A 24812-nucleotide genomic window follows, 5' to 3' on the forward strand; every position below is an offset into this window, starting at 1 on the left:
ACCAATGTAGTAAGCCAGAAGTGATTCACATAGTTTATAGGTGTGGGCCTGAAGAGACTGGCAGCTTTCACCTCCTATCCCTTGGAAAATTCCCTTTTGTACCTCTGAGATCCATTCTAAGCAGTCTGGCCACTCTGCTGTAGGACTACACGGAGAGACCTTGGAAAGGAAGAACTGCCCAGCTGAGGCCAGCCTTCTGGCCATCTCTGCTTCAGACATGTGAGGGAAGCCTTCTGGGGACTTCCAAGCCAGCTTTGCTCCCAGCTAAATACCAATGAGTGATTGCAATCAACTCCACATAGAACACAATTGCCCAGCAACTTCCAGCATGAATTACTGATCCACAAATCAGGAACATAATATAATAATTGGTATTTTAAGCCCCTAAATTTGGGTCAATTTGTTATACAGCAATATATATTCAGAACAGTATATGTTATGAGCTCCAAAGAGAACTCAGGTTATCTCTTTTTCATTCTATTATTCCCGAACTATGCTACTGTACTAGGGAGCATTCTAAAAATGCCTTCTTCCTCCCCAAGGTTCCAGGCTCTAATTCCCAGGACCTGTAACGGTGATGAGATAGCACTCTGGTGACTGTGTTCTTTTACATAACACAGTTGACCTACAGAGGAAGATTATCTTAGTGGACCTAATCCAATCAGATGTGTCCCTTTAGAAGCAGAGAGTTTTCTCTCGCTTTGGCAGAACTTGGAGAAGTCTGAAGTGTGAGAAGGACTCCATGCATCTTTATTCTTTTGAAGATGAAGAGGACCTTGTGCAAGGCCTGGAGAAGGGCCCCTAGCCATTCACATAGAATCCCTAGCAACAAACAGCAAGGAAACAGTAACCTCAGTCCTACAACCACAAGAAACTGAATTCTGCCAACACCTTGAAGGAGCTTGGACTTGGATTCTTCCCCAGAACCCACTGGTAAGAGCCTGGTCTGTCCAACACATTGATTTCAGCCTGTGAAGCATAAAGTGAAGACCCAGCTATACCATACCTAAACTCCTGACCCCTGGAAACTATAACATAATAAATCTACATGAAGTCTCTTAATTTATGGTAATTTGCTACATAATAAAAATTAACATAGTTATTCTGGACAAAACACTCTGTTTCATTTTACTCCTTAAGAAAATGATAAGAATAGACTGGACAATCTTTTAAGTTTCTTTCAGGTACAAAATTTTATGATTTCATAATATTAGGTCATTTAGCCTTCCTGAGCCTCAGGTTTCTAAAGTAAATCATGGATGCCAAACCAATTCTGGGCCAGTTTTATCTTCTAGGTAGTCTATCTTCTAGATCTTGAGCTGTCTGTGAACAGGGGCACTCATTGTCTTGCTCACCCCCCTACCACTTGTATCCCGCCTGGCACTTAGTGAGTATTCACTAAATATTTGTTGAATGAATAAATGAATGAATGAATAAATGAAGATTCAGTATAAATATTAATGTAAATATTATTTGACAAGAAAAGAGGCCTATGCCTATGTAGGATGGCAACAGGATAATGAGTATTACTTTATAATCTTGGGCAAGTCATTCATTTCTGTCAGTCTCAGTTTTCTCCTTTGTAAACGGGGAGGCCGACTGATCCTCACTCTAACTCATCCACTGGTTATTCCGATCACATAACATCATCAGTGTGAAAGCCCTTTGCAAACTTTAAAGTAATCTATACATAAGGTATTTGTCTTGGTAATAGTTTACTTTTTAAGGTTAGGAATGTCCCTAAGCCACATGGGGTAAATTTATTTCCTAATTATACCAGAAATGGAGCACCTTCCTGCTGTTACTTCTGCAGCTGCTGGTTAGCAGTCGTGCCACCTCTCAGCAGGGGTGGTACCTGCAGGGAGACAAAGCCATTAGCATCTGCTTAAGCAGAAGGTGTTAGAAACTCAACTCAAAGAAGACTTACTGAAAGATGACGATCTCTACTGACAAGAAGGGAATATGACAACCTGTGGTATCACACCAAATAATCTGTGTCATAGCTTCTTAATCTGGTGTAAACCACTTTTTTTTCCAAAGCTGTGTTTTGAGGAGCCCAATCTCTTGAAAAACTTCAAAAAGAAAGATTTTATGGCCAAATAAATTTGAAACATATGAAAACTTGACCTCTTCTTTATTTAGCATTTTTTTGTAATTCAACATTTTCTAAACTTATTCAAACAGATACCACTTCCTTATTTTCCTCCTTTTCAAAGTCCTATAGGATTCACTTAGGGGAACTCATTTTTGCTTAGTTTCTACCAAGTGCATAGAAAGAGATGTGACCATATTTAAGGCAGTGAAGACAGACTTAATCCAAGTCTGGTATGGCGCTTAGACCAGTGGCATCAGTATCACCTGGGACTTAGGACCCACCTCAGTTCTACTGAATCAAAAACCCTGGACACAAGGCCCAGTAATCTATGTTCAGAAAGTACTCCAGGTGACGGTGATGCCAATCCCAGTTTGGGAAGCAGTGCTTTAATCCACAGATCATATCAGCACAGAGAAGAAATACTGAATCCTCTTACACCCAAAAGAGAGATCCCATCGATTCTCCAATTCATCTTTCTAATAGCTATCAGAGAACATTTACTAAACCACAGCATCCCTTCTATTATTTTTCCCTCTGGCTTCATATCACCTTAATGATAAGATGCAAACTCCACCACTAGATATTTAATCCCTCCATAATTTCCCAACATAAAGGTCTAACCTTATTCAATAACAATAAGGACAATTGCACTAAGTGCTAATATTTATTGACCACTTACTACATGCTAGGAACAGTGAATATGTGTCTTGGGTGATCCTCTCAATAAACCTGTGGAGGAGATATTATCCTTATTTTACAGATGAGGACACTCAGGGCAGAGGACACTCAGCACATTGCTTGCCAATATTTAACCTCAGTCCTCTGGTTCCAAAGCCCAGGTATTTAATTCTGACTTACATCCTGTTTCTGATTTCTGATTTGACATTTCTGGATAAAATTAATCCCACACTCTATTCTTCATAGGTACGTATTGCTTTCTTGAATGGAAAATCATTCTTTTCACTGCAAGTACAAAGCATAATCATCCCTCAGCTCCCATGTGAAATGTCCCCTCACTTCAGTGCAGCAAAGGCTATGTCGTGATATTCCAGGCACTTTACCCGTCACTGAGGAAACATTGGTTAGCAAGGAAAACAAGTTATCTGCCTTCACTGAATTTGTGGTCAAGTAGGGGAAGTCTGGGTTTAAACGCAGCATTGCAAATATGGCAAGTGCTAGAAAAAAATGAAACAGAAGATGCAGTAAAGGCATTTAATAGGATGGTGCAACTTGGTTCACTGAGTCAGACCAAATATTCCTAAGAAATCAGGGATGAATCTGAAAATTAAAGGATGAATAAAGTAATCCGGACAGAGGAAAGTATTTTTTCCAGTCTCCCCAGCAGGAATGCATTTCTCTCACTCTCTTCTCTTGCAGCATTTCCCTTTGCTACTCAAACTCTGTCTATAATATAGGAAGCATAGTAGAACCTTTTTGATAGGGTTGTCATAAGGATTACACACATTAATATATGTAAAGCATCAACAACTCTGTCTGGTACATAATAAATGGTCAATGTATGACAGGTATTATTATCATCATTTTTTTCTTACTATAATAGGTGACCTTGAGCAAGTTGTTCCACTAAGAGTTGCAAGTTACTAGGAATCACAGCTTCTCTGTCAAGTGGGACAAGTTCTCATAATTGACCTCCATGAAGTAACTTTGGGAAAATGACTCTTCCTCCCATCAGATAAATGTGGTGTGTGAAGCTGATGGAGCACTGAACACTCTTGTCTGGTGGGTTACATTTCCACGTTTCTATTTCCACCAAGTAACAAGCATACGAGCTGAAAGTCAGTTTCGTTTATTCCCAAACCTGTTTATGCCCGTTGCATTTGCTATTATTATATCTTCTAATATAGCTAAAAAGTTATGAAATAACTAAATTAAAACTAAAATAAATCAATGAAATGTGAATTGCTTTTTTCTGTGGAAACTAATTTGAATTCAGTGGGAAAATTCTATAAAGACAAGTTATTGACAAAAATGACTATCGATTTAAATAAAGGGGAAGTAACAAAAAAATCTGCAAACATTTGTTTTTTAAGAGTCTAAGCTGTTGCTCCACTTTGAATAAACCGAGGTTTGAAATGTTACGCAATTATGGTATGGTTTATGCAGGAACACCAGTAGAATGTTAAATAGAATATACCACTACCCTCAAAAAAGATTTTGGCTTTACTTCAAGAGGCTGGCCAAGAAATGTGCATTTATATGTTTTTAAGTTAAAATAAAATGGTTCATATATGTATAGCATGTATACATTTTAGGATTTCCTAGTTTAACTTCACGTTTTCAATTACCCAACAAACTATTGGTTCCAATTTCGTCCAACAAAGAGCCCCATGCTTTGCCATTTTGCTATGTGTTAACCCTGGCATCTGTGTTCTATTATTGGCTTTCCAAGGCTGGCTACTATTTTTCTCTCCATCACGCCATGCAGAAAATTGAAGCCTGAATGCCTTAATACTATGCCAAGTACTATCAATAGTAAATGACAGTCACACACTTTGGTCTGTCAGACTAGAGAGTCTGAAGTCCTAAGGTTCTTAAGTTCTTTTTTTCTTTATTATATGATTACATTCTGTTTGATAGGCTCGTGCTTTATTTTACCCAACAGAAACATCCACTTCTTGGAAATAGAAAGTGTTGTCATCAATTATTTATGTCATCAAATATCTAGGGTCTACTACTGCTGTGCTCTTGAAAATATTAATTTTTTTTTTTTTTTTTGAGACACAGTCTTGCTCTATTGCCCAGGCTTGAGTGTAGTAGCGTGATCTTGGCTCACTGCAATCTCCGCCTCCCAGGCTCAAGTGATTCTTGTGCCTCAGCCTCCCGAGTAGCTGGGATTACAGGTGTGCATCACCACGCCAGGCTGATTTTTGTATTTTTTAGTAGAGATGGGGTTTCTCCATGTTGGCTAGGCTGGTCTTGAACTCCTGGCCTCAAGTGATCTGCTAGCCTCGGCCTCCCAAAGTACTGGGATTACAGGCATGAGCCACCGTGCCCAGCCTTGAATATATTAACATTCTATCTGTATATTTCTTTACAAGTTATGAAGAATTTTCCCATATATCATATGAATTGACTAGGACATCAACTCTGTGGGGTAGCTATTCTTATTATCCTAACCATACAGATGGGGAAACAGAGGGATCAGGTAGGTTTGGAGACTTTTGGAGGTCACACATCTAATAAATGACAGAGCCGGGACTGTCAGTCTAATAAACTGAAACTGACTTGAGTTCAATAAAATATAAGAAGCCATATCCCTCCGCCCCACTGCAGGAGTCTATGGAGATGAAATCCAGAGACAAATAAGTACAGGGTTCACAGAGAAGAATCAAAATCAGTATGAATATTGAGGGTCATCAGAATAGAGATAACGATTATCTTGGTAGCCAGAGTCTTTCTATAGACACCAATTAAACACTGTATGGAGAAGGAAATATGTTAAAAGCTGACATGAGTTCAGAAGCTACGGCCCCAGCATCTGAGCCTGAAGTTGATGCCCCCAAGAGATTTTCATCTCAACAATGGGTAATTACATTGTGCTTGGCTAAGGCTCGGACTGCTGGGTCAAGGCCATGTGAATTTGTGAAGTAAAAAGAAATCAAAGACCAAGCATCATCAGAAAATGCTAATAATTCTACTGTCTGCCCTCAAGTTAAGCTTCCATGGATCTTATTTGCTTCACAATACTCTAATCTTTAAAAAAACCCAGGTGATAGCCAGATATAAGTAAGAAATATCAAATCACACTGACCTTAAACACCTACTTGATGCTAGGAATTTTATCTCATTTCATTGAATTGAATAGTGTCTGTTTTTCTTGTTCTTCTTTTTTTTTTTTTCTTCAGTAGGGAACATTTCCCAAAGTAATAGACTTAACAAGAAATAACTTCAGGATTTGGATTCAAGTCAGTTGAAGACAATCGCCATTTGCAGTTTCAATTTTACTAAACTGTCTGGACTGTCAGTTTACTGGCCTGAATTTTGGTTACGATCTGTTCACAAATTCCCTGAGTGACCCTGGAAAAGTCACTTACCTCCCTTAGATCTTAGTTTCTTCATTTGTGAATGAGGAAGATAATCTAAATATATTCAACATATGTAGAAAGTACATACACTTTATATACGAACACGGAACTCAATTTGCAGAAGATTATATCAACATGCATTTGTGGCATATTCGGAGAAGCAAATAATCTATGTGTGCATTCATTGAACAAGTTTTTTGAATGGCTATTGTGTGACAGGTCATGTGGTAGGAAGTTATAAGAACAAAGTTATGAAGAATATAGAAAAGATGTATGTGTGCGCTGATAGTCTCATAGGAGAGATAGGCATTAATAAATAGATTTAAAAAGGGAAAACAGTAGTCAGGTGCAGTAGCTCAGGTCTGTAATCCTAGCACTTTGAGAGGCCAAGGAGGGACTATCACTTGAGTCCAGAAGTTTGAGACCAACATGGGCAACATACTGAGGCTCTGGCTATACAAAAAAATTAGATAAGCTAGCCAGGTATGGTGGTGCACACCTGTAGTTCCAGATTCTTGGGAGGCTGAGGCTGAAGGATCACTTAAGCCCAGGAGTTTGAGACTACAGTGAGCTATGATCATACCACTGCACTTCGGCCTGGGTGACAGGGCAGGACTCTGCCTCAAGAAAAAAAAAGAAAAAAAAAAAAAAGAAAGAAAAGAAAAAAGATATACTGGTAAACTGGATGGTAAACTGGAACTTGGGTTCAATTGGAAAATTAGAATGAGAAGGAAGCATATAAAATAAGTCCTGAAACAGCCTTTCAATGCAGGGACCATGTTCTTGAGGAAGGAATCTTTGAGCCTGAGATCTGAAGGGCAGGTAGAAGCTACCATAGTGAAGAACAAAAGAAAAAAAAGGAAGCACATTCAAGCAGAAGGAGCAGCCCATGTGAATCCTTTGAAATGAAGGGCTACTGGGAGTGGGTGGAATTAGACATTTAGTTAACTCAAAGAAAATTAGCAGAACTGTCCTGTCACTGAGAGAGACAAGAAATGGTGTGGAACCCAGCCAAGGGGTAGGTGGGAACCAGATCATGGCAGATCTGTCAGCCACCTGAGGATTTTGTTCTTTCTCCTAAAAGCAGTAAGTAGTAACCAAAAAGTTTTAAACAGGGATGTGACAAGATTGAATTTGAATTCTGACTGCCATGGAACATAGATTGGAAAGTGACTAGAGTAGATTCTGGGAGACTTAGTTAAAAGGCCATTGTAATTTCAGGCAAAAGAAGATTTTACTTTGAACTATAGGCTACTCATTAAAATTGACTAATTAGCATCATCTGAAAGCAATGCTGCTCAAAGATTCAATTACTGACCTTCTACCAATAGTCTTGAATTGAACTATTACTCTCATTCTCTGTAAATGTTATGTCTCTTAGAGTTGAGAAGGACCTCAGAGATAATTGAGTCTTGTTGTTTTTGTTTTAGCAAAACAGAAAGAAAGAAAGAAAGAAAAATTACCTTATGTTCTTGAATGAATTTTAATTCAGAATTTCCACAAAGAAAACCGCTAAAGAGCTGCTCTCGTTTAAGGTGAGGTACAATTTTTTCACTACTCAACCTGTACCTCACCTCTGCAAGGCACGATTTCTGTACCCAGTGCTCTCCAGAGTGTGAGTTATAGGTTTAGTCCAGCCCACACAGGACAGAATAGGACTTGAACTTAGGTCTCTGGCTTCATGAAACAATGTCTTTTTAGCACACCCAGAGGCTAGATAATGATGGTTGGAGGACCAACGCACAGTTGCTTGTATCTTTAAATGCCTTTCAGTGGCTGACACGAGATTGGAAGATAAGGTGGTTAGTAAACATTTATGTAATTGCACAGGAACCAGCTAAATTCAGCATTGCCCAAGATGACTTTGTGCTTCTTTTCTTCCTCCCTCCCTTCCTTTCTACCTTATTTCCCTCTCTCTTCTTTTTTTCCTTCCTTTTCTCTCCTGCATCCCTCCCTTCCGTCCTTCCTTCATCTCCCTTTTGCCATGACAGGCAATTTCCACCACTATGCAATGCAGTTTTTAGTCTTGGCAGGTCACTTAAACACCTTGGATCATCTTGTCTCGGAGATTGGTAGAATAGCAGAGGAGTAACAAGAAGGGATTCTGGTGGGCTTGAAGCCTGTCTTCTACCTGCTATTTAATCATCAGCAAGTCATTTAACATCTCTATGCCTTAATTTCTCTGTTCATAAAGTGGGATAAATTAGCGCTACTTCATAGGGTTGTTACAGTGATTAAATAAGATGAAAGCCATAAGACTGTGGCTGGTGCATGGTAAATGCTTTAGAAGTGTTAACTATTAAATGTTGCCATGAACCTGAACTTAGCCCATTCCCATTCCCATCCTGATGTGTTTGGCTTCAAGTTCATCCCAATTGCATAGCCCCCTTTCTACAGCATTCAGAGTTCACAAATTTATACACTACCCCTGGTGAGCCCCACAGTGACCCTCTGAGATAGGCAATCAGAAATTATTATACCCATTTTATAAGTGATAAAGCCAAGGCTTAAAAAGTCTCAGTGTCCAGTAATAGCTGAGACCAAACTTAAAGTCCATCTTTCCCTTTTTAACTGCACAGTGTAAGGATCTCCTGGTGGCAAGACAAGCCACAGGAATCTTACTGTGGGTCCCTGCCTTCCCTTGATATGTCCAGCTGCAGTCTGACACTAGGGTCAGCTCTCCTGCGGGCTAACAGAAATCCATCACAGTATCCCCAGATCCTCAAACAGAACCTAATATATAATGACTACCCAATAAATATCTGGTCGACCCATTACTGGTCCCCATCAACAGGTGTGGTCCGGAATTATCTTGTTGCTGTCCTCTCAACAAGCACTGGGCGCTGGAGTGGAATGAATCTTACTTATGTTCATGCTTCCAAAGCCTGGCACATAGTAAGCTTTCAGGAAATGTATGCTGAGTTGGACTGCACTGAACCAGGCCTCTTCTGGTTACCTACAGGGAACATGTCTTTCTGGGTTTCTGCTTGGGCTTGAGAGTTAATTCAGGGCTCCATGTTCAGGGCCATTTCCTGCATCTCAGCACACTACAGTATATATATTTCAATGTTGGTCTACTACCCTCAACCTTGACGAGCAAACCCTGCCTTTGGCTTTACCATACACTAAACCAGGGCGTCCCAAACCCAGTGCAGTCTCCTATCTGCCACTGCCCACTGCTTAGACAGCATGCATTCTTGCTGCTCTGCACAGTGATCTTGACCATCAAGTCCAACAGTAAAGTCAGCAAAATAAATCTAATCTGCTCCTTACCTGCCCATGTGACCTTGGATAAATTAATTACATCTGCCTTATCAGTTCCCTAACCCATAAATGATCCAAGAGCATCTACTTCACAGAGATGGCATGAGTATTAGATAAAAAATATATGTCACCAATGCTCAATTTCATTAGGTAACTAATTACTGAGTGCCAAGAAATTTATATGCCAACTATCAGTTCTTGGGGGAAAAAGAATAAGAACAATACCTAACATGTATTGAGTGCTATCCATGTTCTACTCACTGTCCTAAGAAATTTATGTAGGTTAAGGCATTTAATCCTGAAAACAACCTTATAATGTAGGCACTATTATTAGCTCCATTTTACAGATAAGAAAATTGAGGCTCAAAGGTTTCAGTAACTTCCTCCAGACTTACAATGTAACCGGGTGACGAAGTTGGAATTTGAACCAAGGCAGTCTAACTCCAGAATCTTTACAAATAGACAACTCTATTGCTTGTTATTCTAGCTGCTCAGTAAGTAACTGCTATTGCTTCATTATTGTTGTTATTATTATTAATCTTATGTTCCCTATATCTGATAGTCACCTCTAGCTCCAATTCTACTCAATTGCTATTGTACCTCATCTCCAAAATATATGTCCCCTGCCCCCATAATGAACTGCACCTCCCAATACTCACACCCTTGAAGCCAGGTTAGGCTTTTGGCCAACAGAATGTGGTACAAATAATGCTCTCCGACTTCCAAGGCTAAGCTGTGTAAAAGTCTCACAGCTTTCTTTTGGTCTCAGGACACTCCCTCTCTGAGCCCAGCTGCCATGCTGCAAGAAGTCCAGTCCCCGTGGAGAGGTCCTGTGTGGGCACTCCAGTGACAGCCCCAGCTGAGCCCCCAGCTGACAGCCAGCATCAACTGGCTCTGAGAGAGTGTCATTGTGGAGATGCAGCCCAGTCAAGCCCCCAGATGACAAGAGCCCCAGCCAACTAGAGATATCCTCAGCTGTACCAAGTCAACATACAGATTCATAATAGATAATAACATAGTGTTGTTTTGAGCCACTAAATTTTGGGGTGAATTGTTTTACACCAATAGAGAGCCAAAATACCCCTTTTGCCTTCCAGCCAATATTAAGTTTCTAGCAAGCATTGAAGCCAAGTTTTAATCAGCTATAATTGACCTCTCACTAAATCTAAATCTTAACATTTCTTTGAAGTAACAATAAATTAACATTTATTGACCTTGTGTACATTATTAACCTTTCTGTGCCTCAGTTCCTTTATCTGTAAAATAGGAATGGTAACAGTATCGCTTCATAAGACTGTAGTGAGGAAGAAATTAGTTAATCTCATATAAGATGCTAAAGAACAGTGCCTGACCTTTAGAATACACATACTAAGTGACAGCTCCTTCCCTTCTGTCTCTTACTCTCTCCCTTCCTCCCTTCCTTTTAACTGATTCAGGCACTTTACCAAGGTTATTTAAATTTTAAAATCTTAATCATCACACTTAACCTGAAGGCAAGTGTTATTATCCCCTTTCACAAATGAGGTGCAGGACTTACATAAAGCTCTGTGTCTGGTAAGTGATGGAGCCAGGATTCGGACCAGTCCATGTGTGGCTAAGGCCCTGTGCTTGTTCCCTCTTTCCCTCTCCCACCTTACCTTAACAAAGCCACCTGTTTGTGAGACAAGTAAACATCTCTGTGGCACCTGCTGCAGTAATGGCACCTGCTCAGCACACTCATCTTCCACAGACTTCAGCAAGCAGACACATTGAAACCATGCAATCAGTTCATTTGCAAATACCAGCTTGCTCAGCTAGAGGTGGCCCAAGGTTCCCAGTGTTAGCACCTCTGTCCGACACTGCTCCATGCCAGAGAGGTGCCCTGCGGTGTGAGAAATACTCATTAAAGCCTCAGATTCAGATGTCAGGAAGCGGCCCACAGCCCGTCCAAGGAAGTTCATCTCTCCTGGGAAGGCTTCAGAGGAATTAGCCACAGAGCCTAGTGTCTGTGTGCTCCTACCCCTCGGTACCTAGCACTCAAAATTCCTCAAATTAATATAATTGAGTGACCTGCTAATGGTGGAACGCCAGACATCCTCTCCAGGTGAGAAGAATATGATGATTAGGGCAGGTTTTCTCCTCCTTAGTAGGAGAGACGGCAACACTGTGAGCTCTTTCTTTGAAGGTCCCATGATGGTAGAGCATTTTTAGCTATTTACACCTGACGACTTGCAGAAGGAGAGCAGAGACTTATTCAAAGATGCAGACACCTGCACTGAGCATGGTGAAGTGACTTGCCCAAGGACACACAGCTTACTAGTGGTAGGACAAATCCAGACTCCTTGACTTTTCCCAGTGTTACTCCTATTACCCAGCTTTGTCCCTCCTTCTTCCCTTGTAATACCTATCCAGCTACCCTCCTTCTAAAATCCTCTCGAGTCTTCCCTTGAACTTAGCATATCTGATGATGCTTGGTGTTCTGGAGATTTCACTCAACTTTAATAAATATGCCTGCCTAATGTCTTTGGGACCTTTGGATCTTACTCTCCATTTTCTGAGATGACAATCACCGTAACTGAAAGAGGTTATTTGTTTGAATTCTTATCATGGTCAAACATGGCCCTCCTCAATCAGATTTGCATCGAGCTTCGTTGCTCCTTGGGATGCACAGCTTTTTCACCTAAAGATCTGATCAAAAGCTACCTCCTATAATATTCTGGGCTGAATTACATACCCCTCCAAACTTATATGTTAAAGTCCTAGCCCCCAGGATCTCAAACTGTGACTGTGTTTGGAGACAGGGTCTTTAAAGTGGTAATTAAGTTAACATGAGGCCATTTAGGTCAGCTCTAATCCAATATAACTGGTATCCTCTTAAGAGAGGATATTAGCACAGGGCATGGTGGCTCATATCTATAATCCTAGCACTTTGGGAGGCTGAGGTGGGTGGATCACCTGACGCCAAGAGTTTGAGACCAGCCTGGCCCATACGGCAAAACTCCGTCTCTACTAAAAATACAAAAATTAGCTGGGTGTGGTGGTGCACACCTGTAATCCCAGCTACTCGCAAGGGGAGGCTGAGCAGGAGAATCGCTTGAACCTGGGAGACGGAGGTTGCAGTGAACCAAGATAGCGACACTGCACTCTAGCCTGGGCAACAAAGCGAGACTCCATCTCAAAAAAAAAAAAAAAAAAAAAAGAGAGAGAGAGAGGATATTAGGACGCAGATGCACACAGAGGAAAGACTACGTGGAAACACAGGTAGAAAAAAACAACCATCCACAAGCCAGAAAAAGGGGCCTCAGAAGAAACCAAGCCTGCTGACACCTTGATCTTGGACTTCTGGCCTCCAGAACTATGAGAAAATAAATTTCTATTGTTTAAGCAACTGAGTCCATGGTACTTAGTTATGGCAACCATCATAAACTAATACATATGGGGTCTGATTGATAAAAGAACCCCTCCCCACTCCTGCTCTACAAGACATCTTCCACAGCACTGTTCGCTGTGTGCATTTCTGAATTTCCCACAGTGCTCGATGCAGGTCTCATGGCAGATGTGTGATGGATCTAAAAGGAAGCTTCTTCAGAGACTTGCTCGTGGTAGCAGTCTGAGCATCTGTTGTGCTCGACAAGAAAGTAAGTTTGTGACCTTTTCTAGTCCCTGCTTCAGCAGCATTGCAACAAGAAACTGGCAAAAGAAATTCTATTTGATCCACAAAACAATATAATTATCACAAGCTAGATGCAAAGCAGTGGGCTCAAATTTGGAGGGAATAGGGAAAACAGAGATGAGTTTGAATGTCTGTACAAGGAGGAGGTTTCATAAGGGGGGAAAGAGAGAGAAATATGCTAAGGAAAGGATTTTAGATTAGTGGGAATCTAGAATAAGAAGCTTTCTGTATTGGCTAGTACAATCAGGAAAGACTTCATGGAGGGAATAGCAGCATTAGCTCTGACGCAAGAAAAACGAGAGAAAAAAGGGTGCACCTCATCGGGGTAATTAGGTGGATGGACTGTGGTAGAAGACTGCCGTTGTTAAATGTTGAGTGCCAGTAGAACAGACTAGTTAGGAAGATAAGATTTTGATTTATAGATTTATTAAAGTTGGTTCAAAAGTCATCGTGGTTTTTGCTGTTACTTAAAAGTAATGGCAAAACTTAAAAAATAATGGCAAAAACCACGATGACTTTTGCATCAACCTAAAATAGCTGGCATCTTGTCTCTCTTACATCAGAATTGCTAAGCCTGAGCACCAGCAACTTTTGAAGTCACATATTTCTTTGTTGTGAGAACTGCCTGTGCAATAATACCCCTAACCCTTGCTACGATACTCAAAATTGTCTTGAGATATTTTCAAATGTCCCCTGGGGAAAACGTCACCCCCAAGTGAGAACCACTGATTTACACTGTAGCTTTGGACAAATTACTTGACCTCTCTCAGCTTCCATTTCCAGATTTGTACAACAGGGTAACAATCATATATATAAATATGTGACTGACACAGGGTATGCTAGGTGAATGTGAATGGACTTGTTCTTTTTAAGAGTGGATCTTTTTCTTAGAACTAAATTGAAGGTAGAACCCCCAAATATGCAACAAATAAGAGCAGAGCTGCTCTGTCTGAAGCAGGGTGGAGAGAGAGCCCCAACCTGCCCTTTTGCTGTCTTGTGATGCCCTTTTAGAAACCCTGGAGGCACCTCTACAGTAGGAACTACCAGCTGCAGATCAGAAATGCCCCGGAAGAATAGAGTCCAAAAAACCTGGATTCAAGTCCTGGCTCCTTCCTTCTGTGCCCCTGAGAGAGTAGTAAACCCTAATTCTATGGAGGCATGGGCCCTGTCTTGTCCATCTCTGTATTCTCCACCATCTAGCAGAATACCCGGTATATCCAGGACATGGCTGGAACTAGGGGAGGCAAGCAAGGTAGCCAGGCACTGAAGGTGACACTCTCTCAGGTGAGGACCCTGCACTCAATGACCCCGCAAGTGTCTCCTGACATTTTGTATTACATTTTGTTATTTGTGTCACTCACTCCTGGCTCTGCTCAAAGGACCTCATAAATAAGGTGGCGAATGATTAATTAGTTAATCCAGTTTTTTCACCATTAAGATGGGGATGCTAAAATTGGCTTTGCTCAGTAATTTTAAAATTAAATATGAAATATATTTTTAACAGCCAGGATAATGCCACATAACTATCAGGGCTAGTGTTCCCCTCCTCAATCAGGTGAATCAGACAGAACACAGAGGCTGAAAATTCATGGTACATTCAGGAAACAATGTGGAATCTGAAACAATGTGGAGCCAGTAGGTGAGGACCCAGAGGCAATCCAGAAAATTGTTGGTCTGGACCATGCGAGGTCCTGTTTGCCACCCCACAAATGCACCATCTGCATTGCATTTCACTCTGCAGCAAGATAATGTAGCTAACGCCAGGTAGGTGCCTGCAGAGGTGGAGGTGGTGGCAACACTTACCTCTCTCTAGGCAGCTGGTGGTTGGGATTGTGGCGACAGCGTACACTGAGGCCGAAAAGCTTGCGGGCAGTGCGTTGGATCTTTTGTCTCTGTGCCTCCGTGGCACTCTGCAGGAGCTTGTAGCGGTTCTGCAGGTCCCAGTCATTGCCCCAGTGCTGATGGATGCTTCCGATGGTCAGGAAGTGGTTGCTGGGGAGGCGCTTCATAAATGATTTAAACTCATCTAGTGAGAGACAAAGGCCGAGAGAGAAGGGCTAAGCATGATAACACCCATCTAAAGTGGCCTTGAATGCTTAGTGTCACTTTCCAATAAACCAGGCCTGCAAACATAATTTTTTTTTCTTAAGGGCCATAGAACATTGCATTAGTCTGTCCTGCCCCTACTAGAAAGGGCAAAAGCTACTATGCTTTCTTATGAAGGGAATCTGCATACCGCATTCTTGCTTAAGACAGGGCTTCCCAAACTTCTGGCGTCGGAATACCAACCTCATAGTAATATTCGTATATTATTACATTTACTTAACATGTTATTTGAATCAAATCATTGTTTTTCACTTAAAAATTGAAAACAAGGTTGGGTGCAGTGGCTCACACCTGTAATCCCAGGACTTTGGGAGGCCAAGGCGGGTGGATAACAGGCCAGGAGTTCTAGACCAGCCTGGCCAACATGGCGAAACCATCTCTACTAAAAATATAAAAATTAACCAGGCGTGGTGGCAGGTGCCTGTAATCCCAGCTACTCGGGAGGCTGAGGCAGGAGAATCGCTTGAACCCGGGAGGCAGAGGTCAAGTGAGCTGAGACTGCACCACTGCACTCCAGCCTGGGCAACAGAGCAAGACTCTGTCTCAAAAAAATTAAAAAAAAAAGGAAAACAAAATGTTTATTGAATTCTCCAAAGAAAATCACTATTGCATGCCTTCAGAAGATGGTAGCTATAAAAATAAATATGTTGAAGATAATGTTAATAAATTCTAGTCAGACACTGTTGCCTGCTAAAAAAATCAAACCTCCATGACTGCTCTCATGTTGAAATGCAGGCAATTAGCAAGTGTTAGGTGTTAAAGGCATGCTAGCACCAAACTGAAACTTTTTGATGTAATCTGCAGGTTCCACAGAGAACTGAAATGGATCAACTTCCCCACCCGGTGATCCAGTGTTGTTTGAAGTTGTATGGGTGTCCCATCTAGCATCAACTCACATTTCAAAAAACTCCAGCTTAAGAGATGGTGACAAACTCTTGGGCCTCCCAGGTAAAAGTTTCTGCCTCAGTTTGTGATGCTGAGTTTCAGAGTGTCAACTTGGCACATCCATAGAAATTATCTAGTTCAGCTCTTTTGTTCTATGAATAGGAAAACTGAAGCCCAAAATGGGAAGATGATTTCTTAAAGGTAACGTGGCTGATAAATGACAAGATCCAGGTCTGTGTCCTGAGTTTCTGTTTTCCAATCTAATAATCCAATCTGTTGTAATTCTAATCCCTATCACCCCATCCCTGGAAAATTAAAAATATCAAGGGGTTGATCATTTTGTAGGAAAAAAGGCCAATGGTTGGATTTATATAAATATTATAAATCTTCAGCCTAACACTTTTCACTTCATGTTATAAAAGCTCCAAGGACATTTTAGGTATACTATGCATTTATGCTTTCATTTTATTTTAAAAAATGCTTACATAGCTCTTGACAGGCACCAGGCACAGTCCTAATCACCTAACATATATAACCATATTTTATAGCAAACCTATGAGGTAGGTATTTTAGAGCCCCCATTTTAAAGAAAATAGGGCACAGAGAAGTTGCCCAAGGTCAAATGGCCAGTAGATAGGAGAATTAAGACTTGAGTCTGGCTCCAAATCCTGTGTTCTTACTTAGTATATTATATTTCCTCTCGACACATAAAAAGGGCAATCCCGAGGCTCAGTACATTAGGAGAAAACAGTAAATAAAAGGTGATAAAAAATAGAAGTCTCTGACTCCTAGAAAAAACTCAGGCATTTAATTATAGACAGTTAGACAGGCAAGAGTTGGAGTCACATCTTGAGTGCTGAACAGCTGTGGGACCCTTATTCTCTCAAGGCGTCAGTTTCCCCATCTGCTAACAGGAATAATAGTATCTAATCCAAATGCTGAGAATGACATAGTGGCATAGGACTGCATCTACCTAACTAGTTCCTGAGACACAGAAAGTACTCGGTTGATGGTAGCATAAGATTGACAGGATGACACAAGACTCTACACTGATTGATTGACTCAGTGAGCTGGCTGAAGGCAGGAGACAGGCCCTGATGACTCTGTTCTGTTTGGGACAGCTAGACTCTCCTCTCATGGAAAACATAAAGCTTATCTTGCAGAGGGCTCCGTGGATGTCAAAGGGGAAAGCAGGCCTTCAATGAACCCAAATTTGGGTCTGATAAGAAAATAGAATTTAAGAGTTAAATACATTAACTTTATTTATTTATTTATTTATTTATTTATTTATTTATTTATTTATTTTTTGAGACACAGTTCCACTCTTATTGCCCAGGCTGGAGTGAAATGGCACTATCTCAGCTCACTGCAACCTCTGCCTCCCAGGTTCAAGCGATTCTCCTGCCTCAGCCTCCCCAGTAGCTGGGATTACAGGCATGTGCCGCCACACCCGGCTAATTTTGTAGTTTTAGTAGAGACAGGGTTTCATCATATTGGTCAGGCTGGTCTCGAACTCCTGACCTCAGGTGATCCGCCCTTCTTGGTCTCCCAAAGTGCTGGGATTACAGGCATGAGCCACTGCACCTGGCCAACTTTCTTGAATAAAAGTAGAAGTACTACAACGAATCCCCTAGCAAGGAGATGTAGACTGCCATTTATGTATAGAAACTAGGCCCTATTTGGCCACCCACACTCTGGAGCCATCAAGGAACCAATGGCTTTTACTTTGGGCTGGTCATTAATCTCTCCAAATCACCTGGGCTGAGTAGCGAAGGTTAAGGGCTAAAAATGGACCAAAGGAAAACTCATATGCACAAGGCTGTGATGCACATACGGATGAATGGATTTGTCTTAAAGGGTAAAACCATTTCAAATAGAGAAGCACAGGAGATCTAGAGGGAGTGTATGCCTTTTGGGGAGAAAGTGTGACATAAATCATTTTCTTGGCCTGTTCAGCTTATTCAGCAGCATCTCAGTTTTCTGTGTTTCCTCATCCATCCACTTAAAGTGGTTTCTTTTCCTTGGGAATAAGGATTGTATGCTAAAGAGTCTTACTCCTTGTGCATATAGCCTAAATTCCCTCTGTTTTTTTTTTGTTTGTTTTTGTTTTTTGTAGTAATCAGCCAAATCTTTCTGCAAAAGCATTTTATCAAATGCTTCCTTTGTTTGGGGCCAAATAATCATCATAGTACATTTCCATCATGAACTTTTCTCTTTTATGGGCTCCCAGGATTTTCAGTGGACTAATGGGTGTCGTTATAAGACATCCACAGTTCCATTTGAGCTGTACAGCACTGTAGGAGCAGGATCCCTGATGCATTCTGGGCTCCCAGAGCTGGGTTAGGGCTTAGAGTTCACAGAAACCAGTTATTTTCAAATGCTATTCCATAGAACTCTGCTTTTATCTGTGGTACACAGTGGCTCCTAGGTAAGATTTTGCTTGATCAAATAATTTCTTGTCTAAAGACTTGAATAAACTCAAATATTAAAAACACAAACATGTCTTCTCATTTATCAGATGAGGGAACCTCAGGCCTGGGGGACAAAGTAAAATTAAGTTACCAAATCTGCTGTGAGCACTAGATTTGGAATCAGGAATTCCATTACCAATCCTGCCATTTACTAACTGTGCAACCCTAGGGAAAACACTGGGTCTTGCAGGAGGATTATAGAGGAGGTGTTCCCTTCTCTGTAATTCAGAAATGTTAGTACTTCCTTTAAGGTGGCTATTATAACAGATTTAAGAAATATAATGTTGTTGTAAAGACAGGAATGCTTTTTTGCATGAGTCCATTTATTTAACAGGTACTTGAGCACATATTATATGTTAAGTACCTGCTTGGCATCTCTTCTTGGAAGTCTCAAGGATTCTCAAGCTTATCCTATAGAAAAGTGAGCACATGGTCTTCTTTCCAAATCTTTCAGGGTGTTCTAGCTCAATGAAAGATATCAACATCTATCAAGTTGTCTAACATGCCTATCTAAAGGAGGTTTATGAGTATCACCTCAATATCCCTTTTCTCTTCAACTCTTGTAGACAATCTAACATCAAGCTCTGCCATTTTTTCCTTCTAAATATGTTGGCATATCTGCACATTTCCAGTTTTTACAACTTGTACCATCTCCTTAACCCACATCATGGTCATCTCTCTCCTAGGCCCTTTGTGCCTCCCATTGGTCTACCTGTAATCACCTTCTCATATCTGCACCATAGTCAGATACTTCCATTTCTGTTCTTTTTTAAGGTAGACTTCCTTGACCACATTGACCCCCAACTCTACATCGTTTGTTCACAGCAACTCCTCCCTTTTTACAGACGTATCCTTGACATTTCCTAATCATTGGCATGGTTACATAATTAATGCCTGGCTTTCCAACAAAACTCAAATGTCCATGAAGGTAGAGATCCTACTTCAGACTTCATCCACTTTAGGAGCTTGGATGACTGTCTTTCCACCCCTGAAACTCATTTTTCTGAACTATGAAAGGCAGAAAATAACTAAGATACCAGAAAAGAGACTTTGAGCTTTGATAGTCTGTAGATTCTTTGGATATCTATATCTCTATGCATATGCACATATAAATATACACATAGAGGTATGTTTATCTAGTTATAGAGATGGACAGAAGTGTGTGGGTGCACACACAAACACATACACACACAAATATCCACACACACATACACAGCCCAAGGAATCAATACAACTACCTCTGACTCTTCCCTCTCCAGAGGCTTCCTATGCAGATTTATTCTTTCTGTCTTCTGGGTACGACAGAAACAATACATCATATGACCACAAACTGGATTATGCTATTCATTAATTTTATTCAGTTGAGATTTATTGAGTGCCTGCTCTGTGACAGCTATTATACTTGCATCTGGACACTCCAAAGTGAAAGGGTCAGGGTCACTGAACTTTCCCTTGCAGCAGTCCTAATTCCAGTTAGATTAGCTCCCTTTCAGACTTGGCTCAAGGCCACTCATGCAGTGGCACTGAGTGAGACTCTCTACCTGAATTCTCCAGGTCCTTATAAGCTTCGGCCCAAGACTTGGCCATGTTGGCCAGCGTGTACTCCATGATCTGGATGTCCGTGATGGGGCAGTTGCACTGCGGAAACTCCTCGGCACATTGGCAGCGACACTGGCTGTTCTGGCACAGGTACTCCCCCTCCCCATTGCACATGATATAGCTCAAGGCCGACTGGACAAACTTCTCTTGCAGATACTGAGGAAAGATTATCTGAAGACCTGTGTGAGAATAGCAAGAAGGGAAAACAGAAAGGTTTAAAAAAAGGTGTTTCATTAACAATTTCCAAAGGTGATACATAGGAATCTGAAGCTGCTACATTTCTCCCTGTGTATTGGAACCAATATATTTCTGGGCCAACCTAGATCCAGACAGGGTATTATTGGTGAGGCTTCCAGTTGCATCACTTTTACTTAAACTTCTCAGGTCATGACTTTGGCCATCTCTGAAAGGCATACTCTATTCTGTTATAGTAGGACTGAGGCTAGAGCCACATATGGTATATACCTTTTCCATTTGTGGAGAAAACTCTTATTGAAAATATAACATTATTGTTTATTATTCTTTATTTCCTCAAGTGCTTTCCTTAAGTATTTATATAAACCCTATTTATGAAACACAAGTTCTGAGCTAGGCACTAGGCCTGTAGAGATAAAAAAAAAAAAAAGACACAATCCTTGCCCTTGGGGAGTTTACAATATAATCAGCAGGTGTAGACATGGACGCACATCATCATAACATGGCTTTATAGACCTATAGCAGAGAGAGCCATATGAGGCAAATGAACAGCAGAAGACTGCAAATAACATTGTTTAGATAGCAGGGAAACCTTCATAGAGGAGACAGAATTTGGGCTGGTTGAAAAGCAAGTAAGAGAACACTAGGTTAAAAGAAGAACAGGAAGGACATTCTTAAAAGAGGAAAGGCATCATGTGTCTGGAAATTCCTAGTGAAGAAATGAACTTGGATGAATGGAGGTGCTCGTGCTGTAGAAAATAGCTGTAGAGAGGGACAGAGGCCAGTGTGCAAAGGGCTTTATTATATGCTAGGGAATTTGGACATTATTCTGTGGATCATAGGTACACATTGGTAGTTTTGAAGGGTACGAGTAACATAATTAGAGTGATATAATTTAATAGGACCACTGTAACATAAAAACTAACACATCACTAGACACAAGCATCACTAGATAATTAATTTTCTCTTCTTTGCTCTAACAGTGAGGAAGCCATGGTCTACCAATAGGAAGTGACCAGCCCATGGTTACAGGATTAGCACTCTGGATTACATCTCATGATCCTCTCTTTATACTTGAATATTCAAAGTCTTAATACAGAGAGCCAATGATAGAGAAGGATTTATTTGGACATGAGCACTACTCTGGTACCTATGAAAAGTCAGCAGAGTGGTCTATTGTCTGTGGTGCCCAGAGAGAAGGACAGATCTGGGCTAACTTAATTCATTAGGGCACTTTCGCTTAGGACATTTCTCTCCACCTCATTTGGAGCTGCAAACAGTTTTAGCTTCCAATATGAGGTAATGGTTCTACTACTCACTGTGTAAAAGAGAACTGTATTCTTATTTGGATTATTTTTTTTCTCATTTATGCTTCAGGGACACTCCTTAATCCAACTCATCAGGGATTTGCTCAACAAGGTCAGCATTTCTTCCATTTTCTATTCACAGTTGTTTCTAGATTTTTATCTTTTTTCCATTTTCTTCAGGTTTTATATATACTTAAATAAGCCCCATCCTTTCAACCTGTCTTCACATGGCAGCTAAAAGAGAATATTTTCAGAGGGACATTGTGGGAAAGAAGATGATTCCTCCAGCATGCCTTATGGCAGGACACCACACGCTGTAGTAAAAAACCTGGGCATGGCTGCACTGCATGCTGTAGTCAGAAACCTGGGCATGGCTGCACTGCACGGTGTGGTCAAAAACCTGGGCAGGGCTGCACTGGCTCCTCTTCTTACTACCTAAGTCATCTCAAGCAAAATATTCAGCCTGCCTGTTAGGTTCCACTTAGTATCTATGTACAAAGATTATTGAGAGGACTACATGAAAGAATGCCTACAAATTATCTGGAAAAGCTCCTGGCACATAGCAAGCAAACAATAAATGTTGTCTGTTCTTATTTTTGATGTGATGACGATGACGATATTGATGATGATGCCACTCCTCTGATTAAAGTGGTTAAAGGTTTAACAAAACCTTCAGGATTAATGAAAGAAAAACAGGTGTGGGTGTATAATCAAAAGGCAGTCTTCACATATTTGCAGAGCTTTGATAAGCAGGAGGGTTTAGAATTCTGTGCCTGTTGAACCAGCATTGGTGACAGGGCTGTTGAGAAAGGTGTATATGTCAATATGCATGGAAGGGATTCTAGCAGATTAAGCTATACAGTTGAACAACGGGCTGCTGTGAGACTGAGTGAGCTCCACATTGATGAGCAATGAGTCCGTATGGGTTTGAGTGACTGTTTGGGAGGGCTACTGTACAAGGGCATAACACACATACCAAAACGTGAGGTAAAACAAATCAAGAATAAAGTCCCTTCTGAACTGAGTCTACAATTCTTTCAGAGTGTGCAATTCTTTCTGAGTCTACAATTCTTTTAGTCATTTTATCTATATCACCATTTTCTCTTCTAGAGCCAAATTTATTTTTAGCTGATCCCAATCCCCCATAGGCAACTGGGTGTATGGATCGGGGTTAAGTTTCTGTTGCTTAAAGGAACTCTACAGACTATATTCTCAGTTCTATTTTTCTAGCTTGCTCATCATTTTCTTTCTCCCTTCTGTAGGGGATAAAATATTCTATTCTTGGTCCCAGCCCAAAAGGAATTTGGGGAGAGCATTTATAGAAAATTGCGTCAAATCATTTTTCCATTTGGCAAGGATACAAAAGGCAGTATTACCTACCCCATTTAATGCAACTGAAAACAGATGAAGTTTGGGGTTGGGGGTTTTCTGGGAGCAGCTAAAATACAAAACTGGCTGCTCTTTAAAAATGGAAACTCAGAACATGCCGAGCTGTCTTGGAGGCAGAATCTCCTGGGCAATTTCGAAAGAGAACAATGAAGACATAGCAATTAAAAAGCACTTTTCTGTAAAATGTCATTACTGTTTAAAGTTACATAACCATTTCTACGGCAGCGGAGGTTCACACAGCAGTCACAGACAGAGTCGTCTCCTGATGGCCTGTGTCCAACAAAGAGGCCCAGTGCTGAACTCCTACATGGGCGCCTGAATCCTGCCTGCTTCAATGGGAACCATAAATAATTTGGAGGGGGATTTGGCTTGTGAAACCACTGTTTGAAAGATATACAGCTGCCGGCTGGGGTGAAATATTCTGTCCCCACAGTTCCCAAAGACACAACACACAGACACACAGACACACACACACACACACGGAGAGAAAGAGAGAGAGAGAAAAGAAAACTGAGAAAATGAGAGAGAAAAGGGCTACTGTTATTGCCAAGCATATAAATTTTGCCTTAGAAAACCCAGGCAGGCAATAGTTGAGAGTTTTATTTGAACATCAACTCACCCACACTGAACATATGGAATATTTTTCTCCCAATCTTTTTATATATTAAAATAATCTTGTTATAATTTAAAATGGAATGTTTCACTGTTCTGCAGAGCATGTGGGCAATGTATATGTGGGAACACCCAAGATGTCTTCCTTCTCTTTTCCTGATTTGTGCCTCATTCTTTTTCCTTTCAATTCACCTTCGACAGGTGCATCTCACAATATTTTTTGTAGCTTGTATACAGTCTTTGTGTGCTGAGATATTATTTCTCTTTCTCTGTGTCACATGATGGGATATCTCTATTTCCTTGCCTCCCTCCTTCCTCTTATCTCCTAATATTCTCTTCTGTACTGAGAATACATCAGAAAAACCCTGCCTTTTTTTCAGTACCTGCAATACACACATCAATATTGTTCCTCCCATAATCTTTGCACTTGCGTTTCCCTGTGCACCGAATATTCTCTCCTCAGATTTCTGCTTGATCCCTTGTCCTATAATCCAGACCCTCCCAGACCCAGGTTAAAAGGCATCTTCAATTTTTTTCATAGGATTAATTCCTGGCTGAAATTATCTTTTGAATTTGTTTTATTTCTAATAGTTTTTCTATCATCCCCATTAGAGAGTAGGCTCTAGGGAAGAAGGGACCTGTCTGCCCTCTAAGGGCCCCCAGAGTATAAACTAAGGTCAAGCCCAGTGTAGGCTCCAGGCACTCATTTGTTGATCAAATAAATATTTTTTTTTTTTTTTTTTTGAGACCGAGTCTCACTCTGTCACCAGGCTGGAGTGCAGTGGCACAATCTCAGGTCACTGCAACCTCCGCCTCCCGGGTTCAAGCGATTCTCCTACCTCAGCCTCCCGAGTAGGGTTTCAACATGTTGGTCAGGATGGTTTTGAGCTCTTGACCTCATGATCCACTTGCCTCGGCCTCCCAAAGTGCTGGGATTACAGGCATAAGCCACTGCACCCTAACAGTCAAAGGAACTTTGAACTTTAAACACTTCCTCCTGCAAGGAGGAAGTGTTGACTTTGAACTTTAAACGCTTCCTTCTCCAAGATGAAAAGAAAGTGCCTCACGAGGCTTCTGAGGTGTTAGAATTTAAAAATCAGGTGACCTGGCCAAAGTCTCACAACTAAGGTAACAGAACCAGGACTCCAATCTAGGAATTCAACTTGAGTTCTGACACACTCGAGGGTGACC

At 41.0% G+C, this 24812-nt stretch overlaps 1 protein-coding gene across 1 annotated transcript in view; it reads right to left on the bottom strand.

The window, feature by feature from the left end:
• Nucleotides 1–24812, bottom strand: part of BRINP1 (BMP/retinoic acid inducible neural specific 1) — a 202807-nt gene that overhangs the window by 27230 nt on the left and 150765 nt on the right. Inside the window, exons 6-7 of the mRNA NM_014618.3 lie at nucleotides 20061–20297; nucleotides 14861–15083 (exon numbers count right to left, since the gene is read on the bottom strand). Of these exons, the coding sequence (NP_055433.2) occupies nucleotides 14861–15083; nucleotides 20061–20297 (460 nt within the window). The remainder of the gene's footprint in view (nucleotides 1–14860; nucleotides 15084–20060; nucleotides 20298–24812) is intronic.

Source organism: Homo sapiens, chromosome 9 (genome assembly GCF_000001405.40).
Source record: "Homo sapiens chromosome 9, GRCh38.p14 Primary Assembly".
Classification (NCBI taxonomy): domain Eukaryota; kingdom Metazoa; phylum Chordata; class Mammalia; order Primates; family Hominidae; genus Homo; species Homo sapiens.